This window comes from Homo sapiens, chromosome 5, assembly GCF_000001405.40.
Source record: "Homo sapiens chromosome 5, GRCh38.p14 Primary Assembly".
NCBI classification, from domain to species: Eukaryota; Metazoa; Chordata; class Mammalia; order Primates; family Hominidae; genus Homo; species Homo sapiens.
Genome location: NC_000005.10, coordinates 157,442,363 through 157,460,104, shown reverse-complemented (window position 1 = coordinate 157,460,104; position 17,742 = coordinate 157,442,363). Strand labels below are relative to the sequence as shown.

General features: G+C 45.0%; 1 long non-coding RNA gene across 2 annotated transcripts in view; it reads left to right on the top strand.

Annotated features, from left to right (window-relative positions):
• Positions 5 to 17,742, top strand: part of NIPAL4-DT (NIPAL4 divergent transcript) — a 97,486-nt gene continuing 79,748 nt past the window's right edge. For both annotated transcript variants that reach the window (NR_136205.1, NR_136204.1), the window contains exon 1: positions 5 to 97. This is a non-coding gene — a long non-coding RNA (NIPAL4 divergent transcript). The remainder of the gene's footprint in view (positions 98 to 17,742) is intronic.

Genomic DNA, 17,742 nt, shown 5'->3' with positions numbered 1-17,742 from the left:
GGCTGGGGCCGCCCGCAGAGGGGCGCATGCCTTCCTGGGGTGAGGACGCTGCCAGGCTCCCAGCTCTGGAGTCACCGCCCCGTGCTAGGGGCAAGAGGTGAGGAGGCGGGTTCCCCGGCACCGCTCCTCCGATGCCTGCACCGGCACCCAGCTCCATCCCCAGGGAAAGAGTACAGGGGACCTAGATGGCTGGAGAAGGGGCAACTTTCCTGCCGAGGTGGAAGTGGCAACATAGGGGTTGGAAGTGGGTACTGCTGCCAATTGGGAACCTGGGTTCCTTCTTTTCCTTCCTTCTCGCCCTCCTACCCTCCCCCTCTCCTTCCTCCCCTCCACCTTTCCTCCCTTCCTTCCATTTCACCCTCCTGCCCTTCCTCCCTGCCTTCTGCCCTGCGACCTCCTTTCCTTGCCTTACCCGTTCATTGATTCAACCCAGGTCTGATCTGTGCTGGTAGGTAACAGGTACATAGTGAGTTAATGCTCAATATATATTTATGTCTAATGAATAGATAATAGGAGCTTGGTAAATTAAATGAAAGAAGGAAATGAAGTGATTGGAGACCAAAATGAGTCAGACTATTCCCTGTCCCCCAAGTACCTTATATTTTAATGGGGGAAACAAAATGTGATCATCTCTTAGAGACCAATGTTTTTGAAATTACCACTTTAAAATTATTTATACACACACACACATACACACGTTGTGATGGAAAGCATATTTGTTACTATGGGTAACAGTAAAAAGCAAGTTAGAAAACCACTGACCTGGAGCATAAAAATAGGTATGTAGAGTTTGCTATAGGCCAGGCAGAGTTCTAAGTGCTGAAAAATTCCAGTTCATTTAATCTTCATGACCGCCTTATAATGTACAGACTTTTATTATTTACCAAAAGGAAACTGAGGCACAAAGTGCTCAAGTAACTTGCTGGGGATCTCAGCTGAGAAGCAGAAAAGCCAGGATCAAACTCGTGCTGTCAGTGGTCACATTAAGCCGCCTGGCATTTTACACTGAAATAAACTGCTCCTGGGCAGTGAGGGTGTGGGGCTACTGAGAAAGCAGTGATTGGTTCTGCCAGTGGTGCTCACCGGCTTCCTGGAGGAGGCAGCTTTTAAGAATTGTTATGTATGGAGTCGTCAGCATGGGCCAGACACTGTGCTAACCCCTTTCCAGGCACTGTCTCATCGAAGCCTCCTAGGAGACAGATATCCTTACTCTTTCCATGCTACAGATAAGAGGAAACTGTTATTTTTAAAAATTTTATCATGAGATAATTTTAGACTTATAGAAGAGTTACGAAAATAGTATAGAGAGTTCCCATATACCTGTCACCAGCTTCCCTTAATGTTAACATCTTGTATAGGAATAGAAAAAACTGTCCTTTAAATACTCTGAGACACTTGCTCCCAAGGTTGCACAGCTAGTGAACGAGGGTGCCAGGTGTAAACCGAGCTGCTCTGACCCCAAGCCTGTCCTCCTACCTACGACCCTCCACTGTCTACTTGCGGACCTCTAGCTGGGCCTCTAAGGATGGGTTCTCCCAGCATGGGGCTTCCTCTAATTTGCTGGATGACTTTAAACAAGTTGCTTACTCTACATAAGGATCAATTTCTTTGTCAAATGCAACAGCCCCTTCTCCAAGGGGTCGGGATCGGGTTGGGGAAGGGAGAGGTTAAAAGAGAAAGGGAAATGTGAGACACAGCAAATGTAACAAGCCACGTTTGCTCATTTTACTTGCTGCATAATTTCACAAGCCCTTGATTCTGTAATGATGTGCACCTCTCTGGAAAAATGCTTTGAAAACAAAGCAGGATACAGCACAAGGCCCCCACAACTTTTGCCTGAGACACTATATTTCTTAAAAGATAAATGACCCTAGACCTTGCCTATTCCTACACATAGGATAATGTTTGACAAGGTTAGTGACTATGCCTCTATCATCTATAACCAGATATACTCTTGCACCCAGACTTTCATGTGATTCTGCTTTACTGTAACTTCTGAGCAAGTTTGATGTAATGTTTGAGCACATACTGCACTTCTGCTACGTGTATATCAGCTATGAGCTAAAACACTGTTTCAGAGCAGTGGGACAGGACCTCTCTGAAAGACTCCTCCCAGACTTTGTCTTCAGTCTCTAGTCCTCAGTAAGACTTCTGCTTTTTTTTTTTTTTTTTTTTTTGAGACAGAGTCTCACTCTGTTGCCCAGGCTGGAGTGCAGTGGCTCGACCTCGGCTCACTGCAAGCTCCGCCTCCCATGTTCAAGCGATTCTCCCACCTCAGCTTCCGGAGTAGCTGGGATTACAGGCGCCCACCACCACGCCCAGCTAATTTTTGTATTTTTAGTAGAGACAGTGTTTCACCATGTTAGCCAGGCTGATCTCAAACTCCTGACTTCAGGTGTTCCACCTGCCCCGGCCTCCCAAAATGCTGGGATTACAGAACCTCAGTAAGACTTCTGAATAAAACTAACTTTAATTCCTTAAAAGCTTGATTTTCTTTTAGTTGACAGAAGTCATAGCCATTGCCAACAGAATATATCCAAGTCTGCAGGTGAGTGTGCCCAGGCCCGCCTCTAACTTTGGAGGTGTGTGGTACCACCGTTCAGGTAGAGGGGAACACCTCCAAGACTATATGAATTTGAACACAGAGCAGCAAGACACTAGATGATTGGCCCTATTCGGAAGTGAGACTTCATGATGAAAAAATATATGCATCCATGCTACCTGCAAGGGAGAATTTGACAAGAGAATTCAACTTATCTTTCTCTTCTCTAAGCATTTCTGCTGTTCAGCTCCTCCTTGTGCTATAAAACGGAGTCAGCACTGAACCTGGAGTGGTACAGTCCTCAAACCCTCACTGCATTCAAACTTGACTGCTTTTATTCCAAGAACATAGGGTGAGAGATTCGGAGTATTTCCCTCTGGTCTGACCTTTTTTCTTCCTCGCTTTATTGAAGTATGACTGACAAATGAAAGTTATATATATTTAAAATGTACAACATAATGATTTGATATAGGTGTACATCGTGAATGATAACGACGATTAAGCTAATTAATACATCTATCACCTCACTTAGTTATATTGTGCGTGTGTGTGCATACATGCGTGTATGTTGAGAACACTTTAAATAGTGGCTTCTCTTAGTGGCCTTTTTGAATCACAAGAGAGGATGTTTCAGATTGTAGTTGCCAGAGCTAAGCCCAGATCCTGAGAGACAGATGCACATATATGTTCTTTAATGCATTTATTTTTGTATGTGTTTGTGATTTGTGGAACCTCTAAATTTTAGGGTCAGGGAAGGGGCCTCCTTGTCAGGGGTTAAGGGCAATATTGAGTTTATCCTATGCTTCAAGACCGGCCTTTTCAGAGTCAGGAGAATCTCATGTTTTAGGGCAGTGGCATGAGGGGAAGGAGGCTAGGATCCACTGCAGGGACTTTCACAACCTCACTGGGCCTCAGGCTCCCCATCTGTTCTAAAAGGGGGCTGGGCCTCAACAGGGCTGGCATCAGAGCATCTTGCCAGTGTAGACATAAAGGGCCCCATTGAACTGCAGTCTTCTCGGCTGCTTCCTGACAAAGCCCTTTTCTCCTCTAGCCACAATGGCCCTGTCAGGCAGGTAGCAGGGCCTGCAGCTTTGTCTCCCCAGAAAAGAACAACAGGGTTCACTGTCTGTTCCAGGCTCAGTCTCCCTGAGGAGGGTGGGTGGCTTACGAAGGGTCTAACAAGCCAGGGACAGATGGGTTCTGCCCTTAGCCAGCCAGCGACTGGTGACCCAGCCGCAGCTCTTTCGGTCAGTTATTCTGGGATGAGTAGGAAAACAAATTCACCAAAACCCAAGTTTTTAAAAACTTGACTTTTCCAAGTGCATGTCCAGATGTTTTAGGTTACAGAGCTGTGCCGTCCAATATGGCAGCTACCAGCTGCATGTGGCTTTTGAGAACTTGATGAGCCGCTAATCTGAATCGTGATGTGCTATAAGTAGAAAACAGGCTCAGTTAGCATTTTGGACTAGATCGTTCTTTGTTGCTGGAGGCTGTCCTGTGCTCGTAGAATGTTTAGCAGCACCCCTGGCCTCTACCCTCTGGATGCCAGCGGCACACACACCCCTGCACCCCGACACCCACCCCAGTTTTGACAATCAAAAACACCCCCAGACAATTGCCAAAATCACTCTGGGTTGAGAACCACTCAGATTTCAAAAACTTAGTAAGGAAAAAAAAGGAAAATCTCATTAATGATTTTTAAATATTGATTACATGTTAAAATGATAATATTTTGGATGCATTGGGCTAAGTAAAAACATTATTAAATTATTTTTCCTATTCTTTTCACTCTTTATAAAGTGGCTACTAAACTGTTTAAAATTACATATGTAGCTCATGTTATGTTTCTTTTGGGCAGTGCTGTTAATGGAAGAAACTGAGTGCCAGAGAGGGAAAGTGACCAACAGAAGGTCACAGAGCAACAGAGAGGCAGTCCGGGCCCCAGTCAGGTTTTCAGACTGGCACCTGTAGGATAAATGCACCTGGTAGCAATAACTTAAGCATACGCTTACAATGAGCCTGTACAGAAGACACACCTGAATGTCTGTTCTAAGCTCGGGAATCTGGGAGTAGCCAACCTGGAGACTCGTTTCTTGTCTATGAGGAACATCTGAGCCCCTTGCCTATCCCATGGAATATGGGCTGTACAGAAGATCCAAGCCCTGAGGTTTGAGTTGGATGAAGGTTGCCAGGTGGAGGTCGTTAAGGGGAGGGTGTTAAGTGAAGATGGAATATAAACTGCATGTGGTTTGCAAGTGGTTGTGGTTTTCCTGCCCAGCCCTTCGCCACTGGGTTATCTTGTCCAGCCCACCGCGGCCGGACTGTAGGTAAAGAGGACATCGTGTCTAGCCTGTCACCAGTGGACCTTTTCTGTAGGTAAAGATGATGTGGTGTCCTTACCTGTCCTAGCCTGTTGTCAGTGGGCGGGTTTTCCTGTCCAGCTCACCACCACTGGACTTTCTTCCCTGTATGTAAGCTGCCAATCAAACCCCACCTCTCATTTGCTGGCTCTGGGTCTCTTCTTCAGCCCCTTGAACCTGGTGCCTTCCCTATTGAGGTGAATAGGAGTTCGGCACAATAGCACTCCAGAACAACTCTGCTGCTCCATACAGCTTCACAATGGAAAGGAAATCCAGAAATCAGTGCATTGCGTCTTTCCAGTGTGCTATGGTCAAAGAGCACTACAGCAGGAATAGAGAGGAGAGACATTACGTCTGCGGCTCACATTATGTTTAATCTTCATTTAATCTTTGCAACAACCCTAGTAAGAGACTTTGTTGTTAAGCCTGTTTTCCAGATGAGGAAACTGAAGTCCTGTGAGGACTCTTAGCCTGCAAGTTGAGAAACTAAGAATCAAACCCAAATACTTCTTTTAATACTACACATACTGTCGTGCAGTCCTAGGTCTAGTGAGACCTGGATAGGTCTCACCTCTTCTCCTTACATCCAACCTGGATAAGAGGACCGCGCAAGATATAGTCTGAAGTCCTTCCCAGCCCTGCTGAGCTGGTCTTCTGGGTAGGGTGGGGAAAGACAGATGGTTGTCACCTCCTTCAGGCTGACAGGGAGTCATGGAATCTGGATGGTCAGCATGCAGAGGCTGGCCCACCCCTTTTCAGGTGTGTCCCTGGGATGGCTGCTGTCCTCATAAATAGCTTTGCTGACGTCAGAAATAAGGCTTGGAATGGACAAGTGTATTTTTGCTCTGGTTCTAAGAAGAGCACCATGCCTAACGATGGGATCCACTGGCATCGATAATGATTACTAACCCACCACTCTACCGAGTTCTGTGTGCTAAGCACTTAGCAGATATTACCTCATGTGCTCTTACAATTCCTTACTCTGGTACCACTTTAAATCCCATCCTACAGATGAAGAAACTGAGGCTCAGAGACGTGAAGTGACTTTCATAAGGTCACACACAGTGACAGAGAATTTCAAACTGGGATTGTGCATTCCCACAGCAGTTCCTTTAACTAAGGCACTGGTTTGATGAGGCCACTGGTTTGAAGATTAGTCCCCTTCCTGACCCTCCTCTGTATGGGAAGACTGGGGCCAGCCAGACACAACATGGGGCAACTATATAACCTTCTCGTCGGCCCTTAGCCAGAGTCAGAGTTGAAGAGGCTCACCTAATCCAACCCCCTTTGTTTGAAGTTGTGGGGAAACTGAGATACAGAGAGGGGCAAGGTTATGTCCAACACCACTCAGCTAATTTGTGGCAGAATCAGTACTTGACTCAAAGTCACTGGAATCCCAACCCAGCACTTTTATCTCTCTCTTTGCTTTCTTTCTTTTTTCTTTTTTTGGAGACAGGGTCTCACTCTATCACCCAGGCTAGAGTGCAGTGGCGTGATCTCAGCTCACTGCAACCTCCAACACCCAGGCTCAAGCAATTCTCTCACCTCAGCCTCCAGAGTAGCTGGGATTACAGGTGTGTGCCACCATGCCCAGCTAATTTTTATACTTTTAGTAGAGACAGGGTTTCACTATGTTGGCCAGGCTGGTCTCAAATTCCTGACCTCAAGTGATCCACCTGCCTCGGCCTCCCAAAGTGCTAGGATTACAGGCATGAGCCACCGCACCTGGCCTGTTTCTTTGCTTTCTTTCTAAGAAAGGACAGACTTTAGGACAAGTCATGAGTTAATAGTTTTTGGCCACTTTTAAAAGATAAGCCAATGCACTAAGGTTTTCACGGGTATTATCCCATTTAATCCTCAAAACAAGCCTAAGAATTAGGGACTGCTATTATTCCCATTTTAGAGATAAGAAAACTGAGGCTCAGGGAGGTTGAGAAACTTGTCTTCTATTAAATAGTGGAGCCATAACAAAACCCAGCAGACTAATTCTAGAGCCAGTTTCTTCTCAGGCTGATCCAACTGCATCTATGGGATTCTCCCATCAGAACATCTGCCTGCAGGTGGAAGACTGTCAAATTACTGTAGAAGGCAGGGCTCACGTCAACGCATGTATGTGGAAGTGCAGCATTGCTTGGCCTTGATGTGGGTGTGCACAGAGCCTAATGCACTTAAAGTATGTATAAGAACTTCAGATCTTGTCGAAAACCAGCTATAGTTAAAACAATAATATTGATATGAACTATTACTTGTTGCCCAACTTCCATGTTGCAGGTTCTTTATGTGTATTGCCTCTGAGCCTTACAGCAACCCCATGTTAGGATACCTTCATGGTAACTTCATAAAGTTACCCAAATTTTACAGCCGATGGCAGTGAGACTTTGTGAGGTGAAGTGACTTGCTCAGGTTCACACAGAGAATAAGTAGCTAAGCTGGGATTCAAGCAGGTTCCCAAAGCACCTGCCACTCTGTCTTCCTTGTTTCCTGACGTTTGCTTCTCACTGGCAACCGTAAGGGCAGAAATCTCCCGGTGGAGGATTGAGGAGGACTGTAGTTAACGATCGTCCCCTGGGCCTGTGTGGACCTACAGCATTTGGTATACGGGAACAGGGAGGGTGGGAACACAGTGAGCTTTGAATGTGGCCAGAGGGAAGACTGATTCTAAAGTTAACTTGAACATGAACAACAAACTTAGGCTCTGTTTTCCCTTTCAGTTAAAAACAAACAAACAAACAAACAAACAAACAAACAACCATCTCAGACTCTGCTGTTTGACAGGCTGGTATAAAAACAGACAGGAGATATCAGTTCCGGTCCCTGTTCTGTCACTAACACACTGGGACCTGTGGCAGTTCCTTTCCATTTGGGCCTATCTTCCCAATATACCCAATGGAAATGAAGAACTAGATCAGTGGTGCTTAAAACTTTTTTTTTTTTTTTTTTTTTTTTGGTGATATGGGGGTAGACAGCAAGCCTTTTTTTCAAATAGAAAGTTACATGGAAGGGCAACATATGAACTTATTTCAAGAGCAACTGCTTTCATTGATTCAGGCCCAGAGCCTAGAACCTTGCCCCCTCGGCCTCCATGTTGTCTCTTTGCTGCCCCTCCCCTGTGACAGCCGCGGAGGCATCCCCCACCTATGCTAGGACTTGGAAGATCCCAGGTTGACAGCAGGGGCCATGTGGCTTCTTATGCATACAGCATGTGCACTGGCCATGGCATTTATGGAATGCTCCCTGTATAGAGAGGCTCATAAAGGGTTGCCTATAGGTTCAGGACTTTCTCAGTTCTCCAGACCCATTTGTCAGGGCCTTAGGCCATGGGCATGCTGTTGCCAAGTGGGTCTGAATGCTTATGCATGGGTGGTAGGGTCTGAGTTCCAAGGGGAAATTCCCACTCACTCCTGAGTGGCATGTGATGTGAGGCATGGAGAGGAAGAGAGGTTTTATTTGCAAGTTCAGATAAAATTGGCTTAGCCTCCTTCAGGGATCCTGGAGAGAAAGAGCAGGTTTGGGGTTGTGTAGGGGTCTCAATTTAGCCACACACAATAGCTGTGTGGCGTTAGGTAAGTTACTTACCCTTTCTGGGTCTCTGCTCTATGATCTGTAAAACACGAATAATGATGAGGATAATGATATAATAAAGTGACTTCTTTTGTTGTTGTTGTTGTTGTTGTTGAGATGGAGTTTTGCTGTTGTTGCCCAGGCTGGAGTGAAATGGCATGATCTTGGCTCACCACGACCTCCGCCTCCTGGGTTCAAGCGATTCTCCTGCCTCAGCCTCCCGAGAAGCTGGGAGTACAGGCTTGTGCCACCACGCCCGGCTAATTTTGTGTTTTTAGTAGAGATGGGGTTTCTCCATGTTGGTCAGGCTGGTCTCGAACTCCCAACCTCAGGTGATCCACCCGCCTTGGCCTCCCAAAGTGCTGGGATTACAGGCGTGAGCCACAGCGCCCGGCAATGCAGTGACTTCTTACTGTATGCTTACTATGTGCAGATTCTATGTAAGTGCCTCTCATGCATTATATCAGCAAAGCCACATGATAACCATATTAGGTAGATGTTGTGTTATCCATTTTGCCAAGGAGAAAACTGAAGCATAGAACAGTTAAGCAACTTGCCCAAGTTCACACAGCTATAGCTATCAAGTAACATAGCTAAGATGCAAACTCATGTTTATCAGACTCCAAAGCCTACATTTTCATCTGCAACATTATCCTACCTTCTTCAAATAAAACCTCCTTCAAAGGGCTGTTTTGAGAATCATGAAAAAAAATCTAAGTCTTAGTCACAGAGCTGGCATATAGTAAATGCTCAGCAAATGAGTTCCCTTTCCTCATCTCCATATTAACCAAAAGTCTCCTGCAGGCTTGAAGGAGTTGATGATTGTTTATAAGTTCCTTTTTTTCTAGCAGGTGAAAATAGGGAGAAAGAAGAGAATTCTCTCCGATTTCAGGAAATATGACTTTTTTCCTGCAAACAACTCTTTTTATTTTAATATTTAGACTGGGTCTTGCTATATTGCCCAGGCTGGAGTACAGTGGGGCAATCATAGCTCACTACAGCCTCTAACTCCTGGGCTCAAGTGACCCTTCTGCCTCAGCCTCCCGAGTAGCTGGGACTATAGGCGAGTGCCCCTACACCTGGCTATTTTTTATTTAAATTAATTCTTTGAAGAGACAGGGTCTTGCTATGTTGCCCAGGCTAGTGTTGAACTCCTGGGCACAAGTGATCCTCCTGTCTCAGCCTCCCAAAGTGCTGAGATTACAGGGATTAACCACTGTGCCTAGCCCAAATAAACTTCTAAAATGAGTGTTTACCAATCTGTGTTCCATGGAATACTATTCCACATCGTTCTGTGTTCAATAAAGTTTGAGAAATGCTATATCCTCAGCTCCTCTCTTGAAGAGGCCCATTGTACATTAGCATATTAAAGGCACTGATAAATCCTGCTGCAAAGAGTTCCACCTAATTTAGCTTAACCCTGCCCCCCGCCATAATACATATTAGCATGTTTTTCTAAAGAACACACATAGAAGAGAAGCTGATTCTTGTCCATTTATGCACATAAGGCAATTAAGGGCCAGAAAGCTTTGAGTTTAGAGCTTAGGTCGCACAGCTATCCAGTAGTAAATACTTTTGTAAATGAAGACTTATTCTCAAATCCATTGCTGAGATGCAGGGTAGAGTGGCAAGTAAAAGAAGGAAACTCAAGTCAAATAACGTGAGTTTATATCCTGCCTCCACCATTCTTGAGCCTTGTGACCTTGAGCAGTTTGCTTAACCATCCTGGGCCTCAATCTCCTCATCAGTTACATGAGGTAATATGATACATACCTCATGATGCTAATTTGGGGAACCAGTGAGTTAATACATGAAAAGTATTTAGAACAGCACCACACATGAAGTTAGTTATCAGTATGCCTGTTGGAATTTTGCATAAAAGGAAGTCCACCTGAGTATACATGGTACCGGAGGCCTGCTGTTTGAGAGCGCCTGCTGCCTGCCGGGGCTCACAGGGCCTTGCTGGAGGGAGGCCAGGCCTTGGCTTGCAGCTCTGGAGAGGGCTGTTTTCCAGCCAAAGCTCCCAGGAGGTGACAGCTCCTGTCCTCCCTCCCCTACCAGTTCCAGGGCCAGGCCTCTTGGGTGTGGCCAGATCAGACAATATCCACATTTCTGTTTCTTCTCCCTGTCTCCGACGCCCAGAGGAATCCTTGTTGGAACTGACAATTTGAGGCTAGATCAGTCTGGAAGAAGGAGCTGAAATAAGCAGTATAGCATCGTACAAGGAGCACCAGCTTTTGAGCCAGATAGTACTGGCACCAAACCCAGGCTATGACACTTCCCAGTTGCATAATTTTGGCCAAGTCACTTAATTCCTTTGAGTCTCAGTTTCTTCATTTGTAACACGTGCATAATAATGGTACCTACTTTCTAAGTGTGCTGTGAAGTATGAATAACAGCTAATGTTTAATAAATGCTTACTACATGCCATGCACTGTTCTAGCAGCCAGGGATAGCTAATGTCATAATAGACAAGTTACCTGCTCTCATGGAGCTCATTTCTATTAATAGAAGGGGCAGATATGACACAAGTAAAGAAATAAAAAAAAGATCAGAGTGTAATAATGGATATAGAGAAAATAAAATAGGGTAAGGGTCAGAGAATGAATAAAATGGTCTGGGAAAGCCTCACTGAGGCGGTGATATTTAAACTGAGATCTGACTGATAAGGAGTGAACTGTATGCAGCAATCTGGGGGAATAGACTTCCAGACAGAGGGGACAGCTAGGCCAAAGGCCCTGAGGTGGGAGTGAGCGTGGTTTGCTTGAGGGACAGAAAGAAGGTCCTTATGATGCAGAAGGGGAGAATAGTATAAGATAAAATTATCCAACCCTACTATACACTTAAATGAATGAAAACCTATGTCCACACAAAAACTTGTACATGAATGTTGGTTCATAGCAGCATTATTCATAAAAGCCAAAAAATGGGAACATCCCAAATATCTATTAACTGATGAATGAAGAAACAAAATGTGGCACATCCGTGCCATGGCAGCCACAGAAAGCAATGAAGTATTGAGACGCACATGGGAGACAACATGTATGAACCTTGAAAACACTATGCTAAGTGGAAGACACCAGACACAGAAGGCCACATATATGATTTCATTTCTATGAAATCTCCAGAAGAGGAAAATCAACAAAGGCAAAAAGTAAATGAATGGCCCCAGGGGATGAGGGGAGTGGAGAATGGAGAGTGACTGCTGGGGGGGACCCTTGGTTTTGGAATGATAAAAGTGTTCTGGGCCAGATGCGGTGGCTCACACCTGTAATCCCAGCACTTTGGGAGGCCGAGGCGGGCAGATCACGAGGTAGGAGTTCAAGACCAGCCTGGCCAACACAGTGAAATCCCGTCTCTACTAAAAATACAAAAAATTAGCCAGGCGTGGTGGCGGGTGCCTGTAATCCCAGCTACTCAGGAGGCCGAGGCAGGAGAATTGCTTGAACCCAGGAGGCGGATGTTGCAGTGAGCTGAGATTGCGCCACTGCACTCCAGCCTGGGTGACAGAGTGAGACTCTGTCTCAAAAAAAAAAAAAAAAAAAGTTCTGGAATTAGTGGAAATCGTTGCACAACTTTGTGAAGATACTAAAAACCACTGAATTGTACACTTTAAAAGGATAAACTTCATGGTAAGTGGATTATATCTCAATCTTAAAAAAAAATCAGAGGGTGAGGCAGGGGCCAGCTTAGAAGTTAAACTGGAGATTGGGGGTGGCACTACTGTTATGCCATATTATGGAGGGGGATCCTAATACAGAAGATAAGCAACTTGCCGGAGTCGACACAGCTACGAATTGGCTGAGCCTGGCTTCAGAGCCCATTCTTTTATGTAAAACATTTATGTGGCACAGGGACTGGTATCCATCCAAATAAACTCAATATATGCGGTTAGGGTTTCACTTTCCCGATTCCCTTCCCTTGAGGCTTCCAATCTCATGTCTAGCCTCCACTTACTGAGATGCACCCTTCCCACCTGCCTCGTTCCAAGCAGAGAGGCTAAGGAAGGACCTGGCGTTCTTCTGTCCTTCCCTCTGGGGCAAGTCTACAACAGCAACAGCCACAGCTTCCTTGGCTGCTCATTAACTCTCTGCCAACACGGTCACACTGGAAATTCTGGTTTGCGGGCCTGGCCTGGATAAGGGACCCCAGAGGAATCCAGAGCGTGGGTTAAGCTTTCTTCAGGCTTGTCAAGTGAGGCAGAGGGTTAATTTGCCCCTCTGCTACCAAGGACCTCCGCCCAGCCAGTGCCAGGCGGAACCGCCTGATGGGCAAAGGCCCCTGGGCTGGGAAGAGCTCCGCCCACCAGGGCGGGGACACAGCCGCCCACCTCAGGATTGGTTGCACACAAAGGCGCTGGGCCAATAAAAAGCCGCGCCTTTTTACACAGTTGCACTAAAGCTTAAGTGGTGATAATTATCTGCATTTTGCTCCCCAAAGAAAAATGTAGCTGTTTATTCTGTAGCCAGCCCATTAAATACGTTGGTGCTTACCTATCTCAAGGTCTGCATTTCCAGAAAGCCTGTTCTGACAGAGCGGTCTGACCTTTAGTCAAACCCCAACAAAACCAGAAGTAAGTGGTCTTTATTTTAGGGAAGGCCCTCACTGGTAATTTTTAACTTTTTAGGAGCTCCAAATCCCTTTAAGAATCTGACAAAAAGGGTCAACACTTGCCCAGAAAGAGGCACACATCACTTTTGCACTGAATTTCAGAAGGATACAGGTCAATAACCCTTGGTTTTTGGCCAAAGGGGGGAGAACATCCTATATTTTTGAATGCGCATTTTTTATTGAACCAGAACTTCACAGAGAATAGTGCAGAAATGTTAAGTGTGGAGATCAGTGGGTTTTCATATATGCATACACCCTCGTAACTACCATTCAGATAAGATATGGAACATTTCCAGCCCTCAGAATGACCAAAAGAAATTTGGCAAGACTTTTTTTTTTTTTTTTTTTTGAGACACAGTTTCCCTCTGTGGCCCAGGCTGGAGTGCAGTGGCGCAATCTTGGTTCACCGCAACCTCTGCCTCCTGGCTTCAAGTGATTCTCCTGCTTCAGCCTCCCTAGGAGCTGGGTTTATAGGCGTGTGCCACCATGCCCAGATAATTTTTGCATTTTTAGTAGAGACGCGTTTTGTCATGTTGGCCAGGCTGTTCTCAAACTCCTAGCCTCAAGTAATATGCCCACCTCAGTCTCCCAAAGTGCTGGGATTACCGGCGTGAGCCACTGCACCCAGCCAAATCATAAAATTTTAAAATTGTATGTTATAATTGGTTAAAAAATAAACTGCAGTTCAGAAGGGTGTAAAATGAAGCATAAAAGTACCCTGGCTATCCTACACACAAGAGGTAGTCACCACCATTAACAGATTCTGTGATATACATCCAGAAATTATATATGCATACCACAACACGGAGTCACATTATACAGCTTTTATTTCAGGTTGCTTTTATCCTAGCAACTGACTTAGAGACTTTTTCATATTAGTACATATGAATATACTTATTTTTAGAATACTGCATCTTTTTAGAATATGCTAATGTACAAATATTGCTAGCTTATTTAATTACGTTTCTACTGATTATCAGTAGAACAGGTTGTTTCCAGGTTTAAATATTATAAACTCTGCTGTGTGGACATTACCTCTTTATACAGTTTAGCCTGTAGGATAAACTCTGCAAGTGGAATTGCTGGGTTAAAGGATATGACTATTCAAAGCGCTTCTGGTAGGCTGAATATTCACATTCCCCACCCATGTCTTGACCCTTAAACCTGCAAATTTGTTACCTTACGTTGTAAAAGAGATTCTGTAGACGTGATTAAGTTAAAAATCCTGAGACAGGGAGAGGGCCCTGGGTTTTCCAGGTGGACCCAATGTAATCACAAGGGTCCTTATAAGTGGAAGGCAGATGGGTCGGAGTCAGCAGGGAAGGTCATGTGAGGACGGAAGCGGGGATGGAAGTGATGCAGTCAAGAGCCAACAGCCTCTAGAAGCAAGAAACAGTGAGAAGCGAATTGTTCCCTGGTGCTCCAGAAAGAACCAGCTTTGCCGACACATTGATTCTCGTCTGGTGACTAAGTTAAGAGACTTATGTCTTTTGGTGTCCATAATTGTAAGATAATACGTTTGTGTTGCTGTTAATTTGGTGGTAATTCGTTACATCAGCGTCAGGAAACAGGGCTGCATCCTCTCTCATTTTCACCAATAGGAGAGTACTGGGTTCCCCAAAGTTCCCAAATAGACTCTTTAAATGTTGCCAGTTTAGAGCAGAAGTTTGAGAATCTGAGGCTGTCTACTACTCACTGTTTTCTGAAGAAGTAAAGCAAAATACATATATATGTGCCTGTAATTTGCGCGTGCTCACGGATCCCCTAAGGTTAGAAATTTCCTTTTAGGGCTTTGGGTTCCCTTTCCCTTGCCATCTCCCCCAAGGCAGGCTGTGGTTCCCATCCATGGTTCCAGTGCAGAAGATCTCAAACTGCCAGGGCAGGAAGAGTCCTTAGAGATCATCTGGGGTACTATGCCCATTTTAAAGACGGAGAAAAAGTAGAAAAACTGGAACGAGATGTGAGTTTCATGACTCCCAGTGCTGTGTATTTTTATTTTTTATTTTTATTTTTGCCTATACATCCTCCTCTGCAAGGGAGGAGGAAGGACAGAAGCATCCGGGTCTGGGCTGAGGTTTGGGCGAGCTCTCATGTCACAGGTGAGTCCAGTTTTAGTAACCAGTCAACCCCAGGCAATAAAGGCCTCCCACGGGCTCATCTTCCCCTCTTCTGGGGAGGGAGATGCACACATAGAAGACCTATCCAGAGACTCCTGGCCTCAGGCTTCAGGTCCTGAGAATGAACTCTGGGTTCTTAAGAGCTAAAGAGTTTGCCAAGGAGGGGCTGAGATGGAGAAATTGATCTTCTCCCCACTGGTCTCAGGTACGACCCTTTCCCACTTCTGGGCTTCCTGGGCTCTGCCATAGTCCCCTCCAACTGGTTGTTGCTTCCTCATCTAGGCTTTTTGATTCCTGAATCTGTTGGAAATAGCTTTGGACTGAATGGGGATTAGGGGTGATGAAGATCTTCCAAGATATACTTCCACCTTCCCTGGGGAATCCTGAATGGAAACCCGAGTTGGAGAGGAGGAAACAGGAAACGGGGCACTGACACCTGGCTGCAGAGGGTAAAAACAAGTGCAATGAGCTGACTGAACCCTTTTCTCTCTATCAGCACCAGTTATTGATCACTGACAGTGTGCCGGGCACCGTGCCAAGGCAATTCATACATATTACCATTCATGACTTGTAACAACCCAAGAAGCAGGTATTATCACTGTTACTATTATTTTGAAGATAAGGAAAAAGATGCTCAAAGATTAAGAACTTGCTAGTTCCTGGCAGAGCTGGGTTTTCAACAACCCAGCTCTTAACCAGTTACTCTCTTCTGCCTGCATTCTTGGTTGAGGAGGGTTCCAAAAGAGAAAATTAACACCACCAAACCTCATGCTCAGCCCTGACTCTGTCCCTTTCTGTGTCCCTCCTGCCTCAGCCCTACCTCCATAGTCCTGTTTTCTGCAGCCCAATATAGTATATCCATAATAATTACAGTCAGTGCCGATTAGCCCTTTACTCACTTCTTTTATGCCAGCTGCTGTTTTAAGGCAGGGTTTTTTTTGTTGTTTGTATTTTAGGGGAAGGAGACAGAAATGGATTCATTTAGATGACATAAATGGAGCACTTACGTGTCACCTGCTGTGAATGGCACTGGCACTATTATGGTGAGCAAGACAGGCAGTCCCTATACTACTAGACTGTATTCATTAAATGATCACACAATTAACATTGAATTATAATTTTGATAAGAGGTAAGAAGGTCAAAGACAGATGCTTAGAGAATATTTCACAGATAAACTGGAACCCAGGCTTCCAGGAGGAAAAGGCATTATAAAGATGATGGAAGGCCTTGGTATGTGAGGAGGGGGAGGTGGGGAGAGGGAAGGGGAGAGATGTTAGGAGGAGGGGAGCAGGCGGTGTGGTTGCTTAACCTCTATTGTGTTCTAATTTTGAGTCCTTGTGTATGAAATGGGGATGATATTTTCACCTCAGGGATGGGCGGAGTGACATGACATGAGACTATGTGGTAGCTAGTAGACGGGCTGAACCCAGGCTGCCCTGCCTAGGGTCAGCCCCATCCCCATTACAGTTTAACCCAGTTTGCTTTCTCCAGCTCATTCCTGGGTTTGGCTGTTTGCCAGAAAGCCTATTAGAAAAGTTCCAACCAGGGACTCTTTAATTTCCTCTTTTCCTGTCAGTCTGAAACTCCAGTAGGCAGAAATCCCTGGGTTTTATTCTGGCTAATGAAGGTGGAGTTTGGGGGCTGCATATTTTTCACTTGGATAGCATCTCACAGCGTATTTTCCCAGGAAAACCCTCCCCTATCCCTGTTCTGCCGGAAGCTGTGGGCTAGCCAGACAGTGATGTATCTGTGATCCCACCGGACTCAGCCCAGAATGGAGCCCAGGCGGAGAAAATCAGAGTAAATCAAACCATATGGGAAGTGAACTGGCTTGGGGGCTGCTTACTTTTCTGCTTGCGTAGAGGGGAAATATGTCTTTATCCCTTTCCCACCGTGGGCTTTATTCTCTTCAGGGGTGCTGAATGCAGATTGAGAGCCAGCCCCCTCCCAAAGTTTCTAGTGTCTGGGGCAGAAGTACCACATACCATATGTCTCCAAATGAAAGTTCCATATCGCACCAATAAACTGTTTAAAAGATGCTCTATCTTCCTAACTTGACAAAATAGACCATTATAACACAACATAAGATATATTTAAAGTCATGGTTTTTATATGACTGGAAGTTGGCAAAAATATCAAAGATCACTGAATTTAATTATCATTGTATATTTCTGGGTGTTCTGTTTATGTGTCAGTGATGTTTGAATAAAGACACTTGTAATTTACATGATTCTATCCATTTATTTTCTAAATCAACTTTGATTTGGAGAAACTGCTCTGATAAGTTGCACCTGGAATTGTCAAGCAACATGTAGATTCATTTCTGAATCTAAAAGGCCTGTGGTAGGTAGGCTAAATATTCACATTCAAGTATTCATTTTACATACTACGTTCACCTACTGTAATGAGGCTACATGTACAGAAAGCCCTCAATTAACATTGTGGAGAGGTTCTTGGAAACTGCAGCTTTAGGTAAAATATACAGGTCCTCAAATGTCCTCATTGGTTCAACATCATTTTGTTATAATGTTGATGAGGACAAAAAAAAAT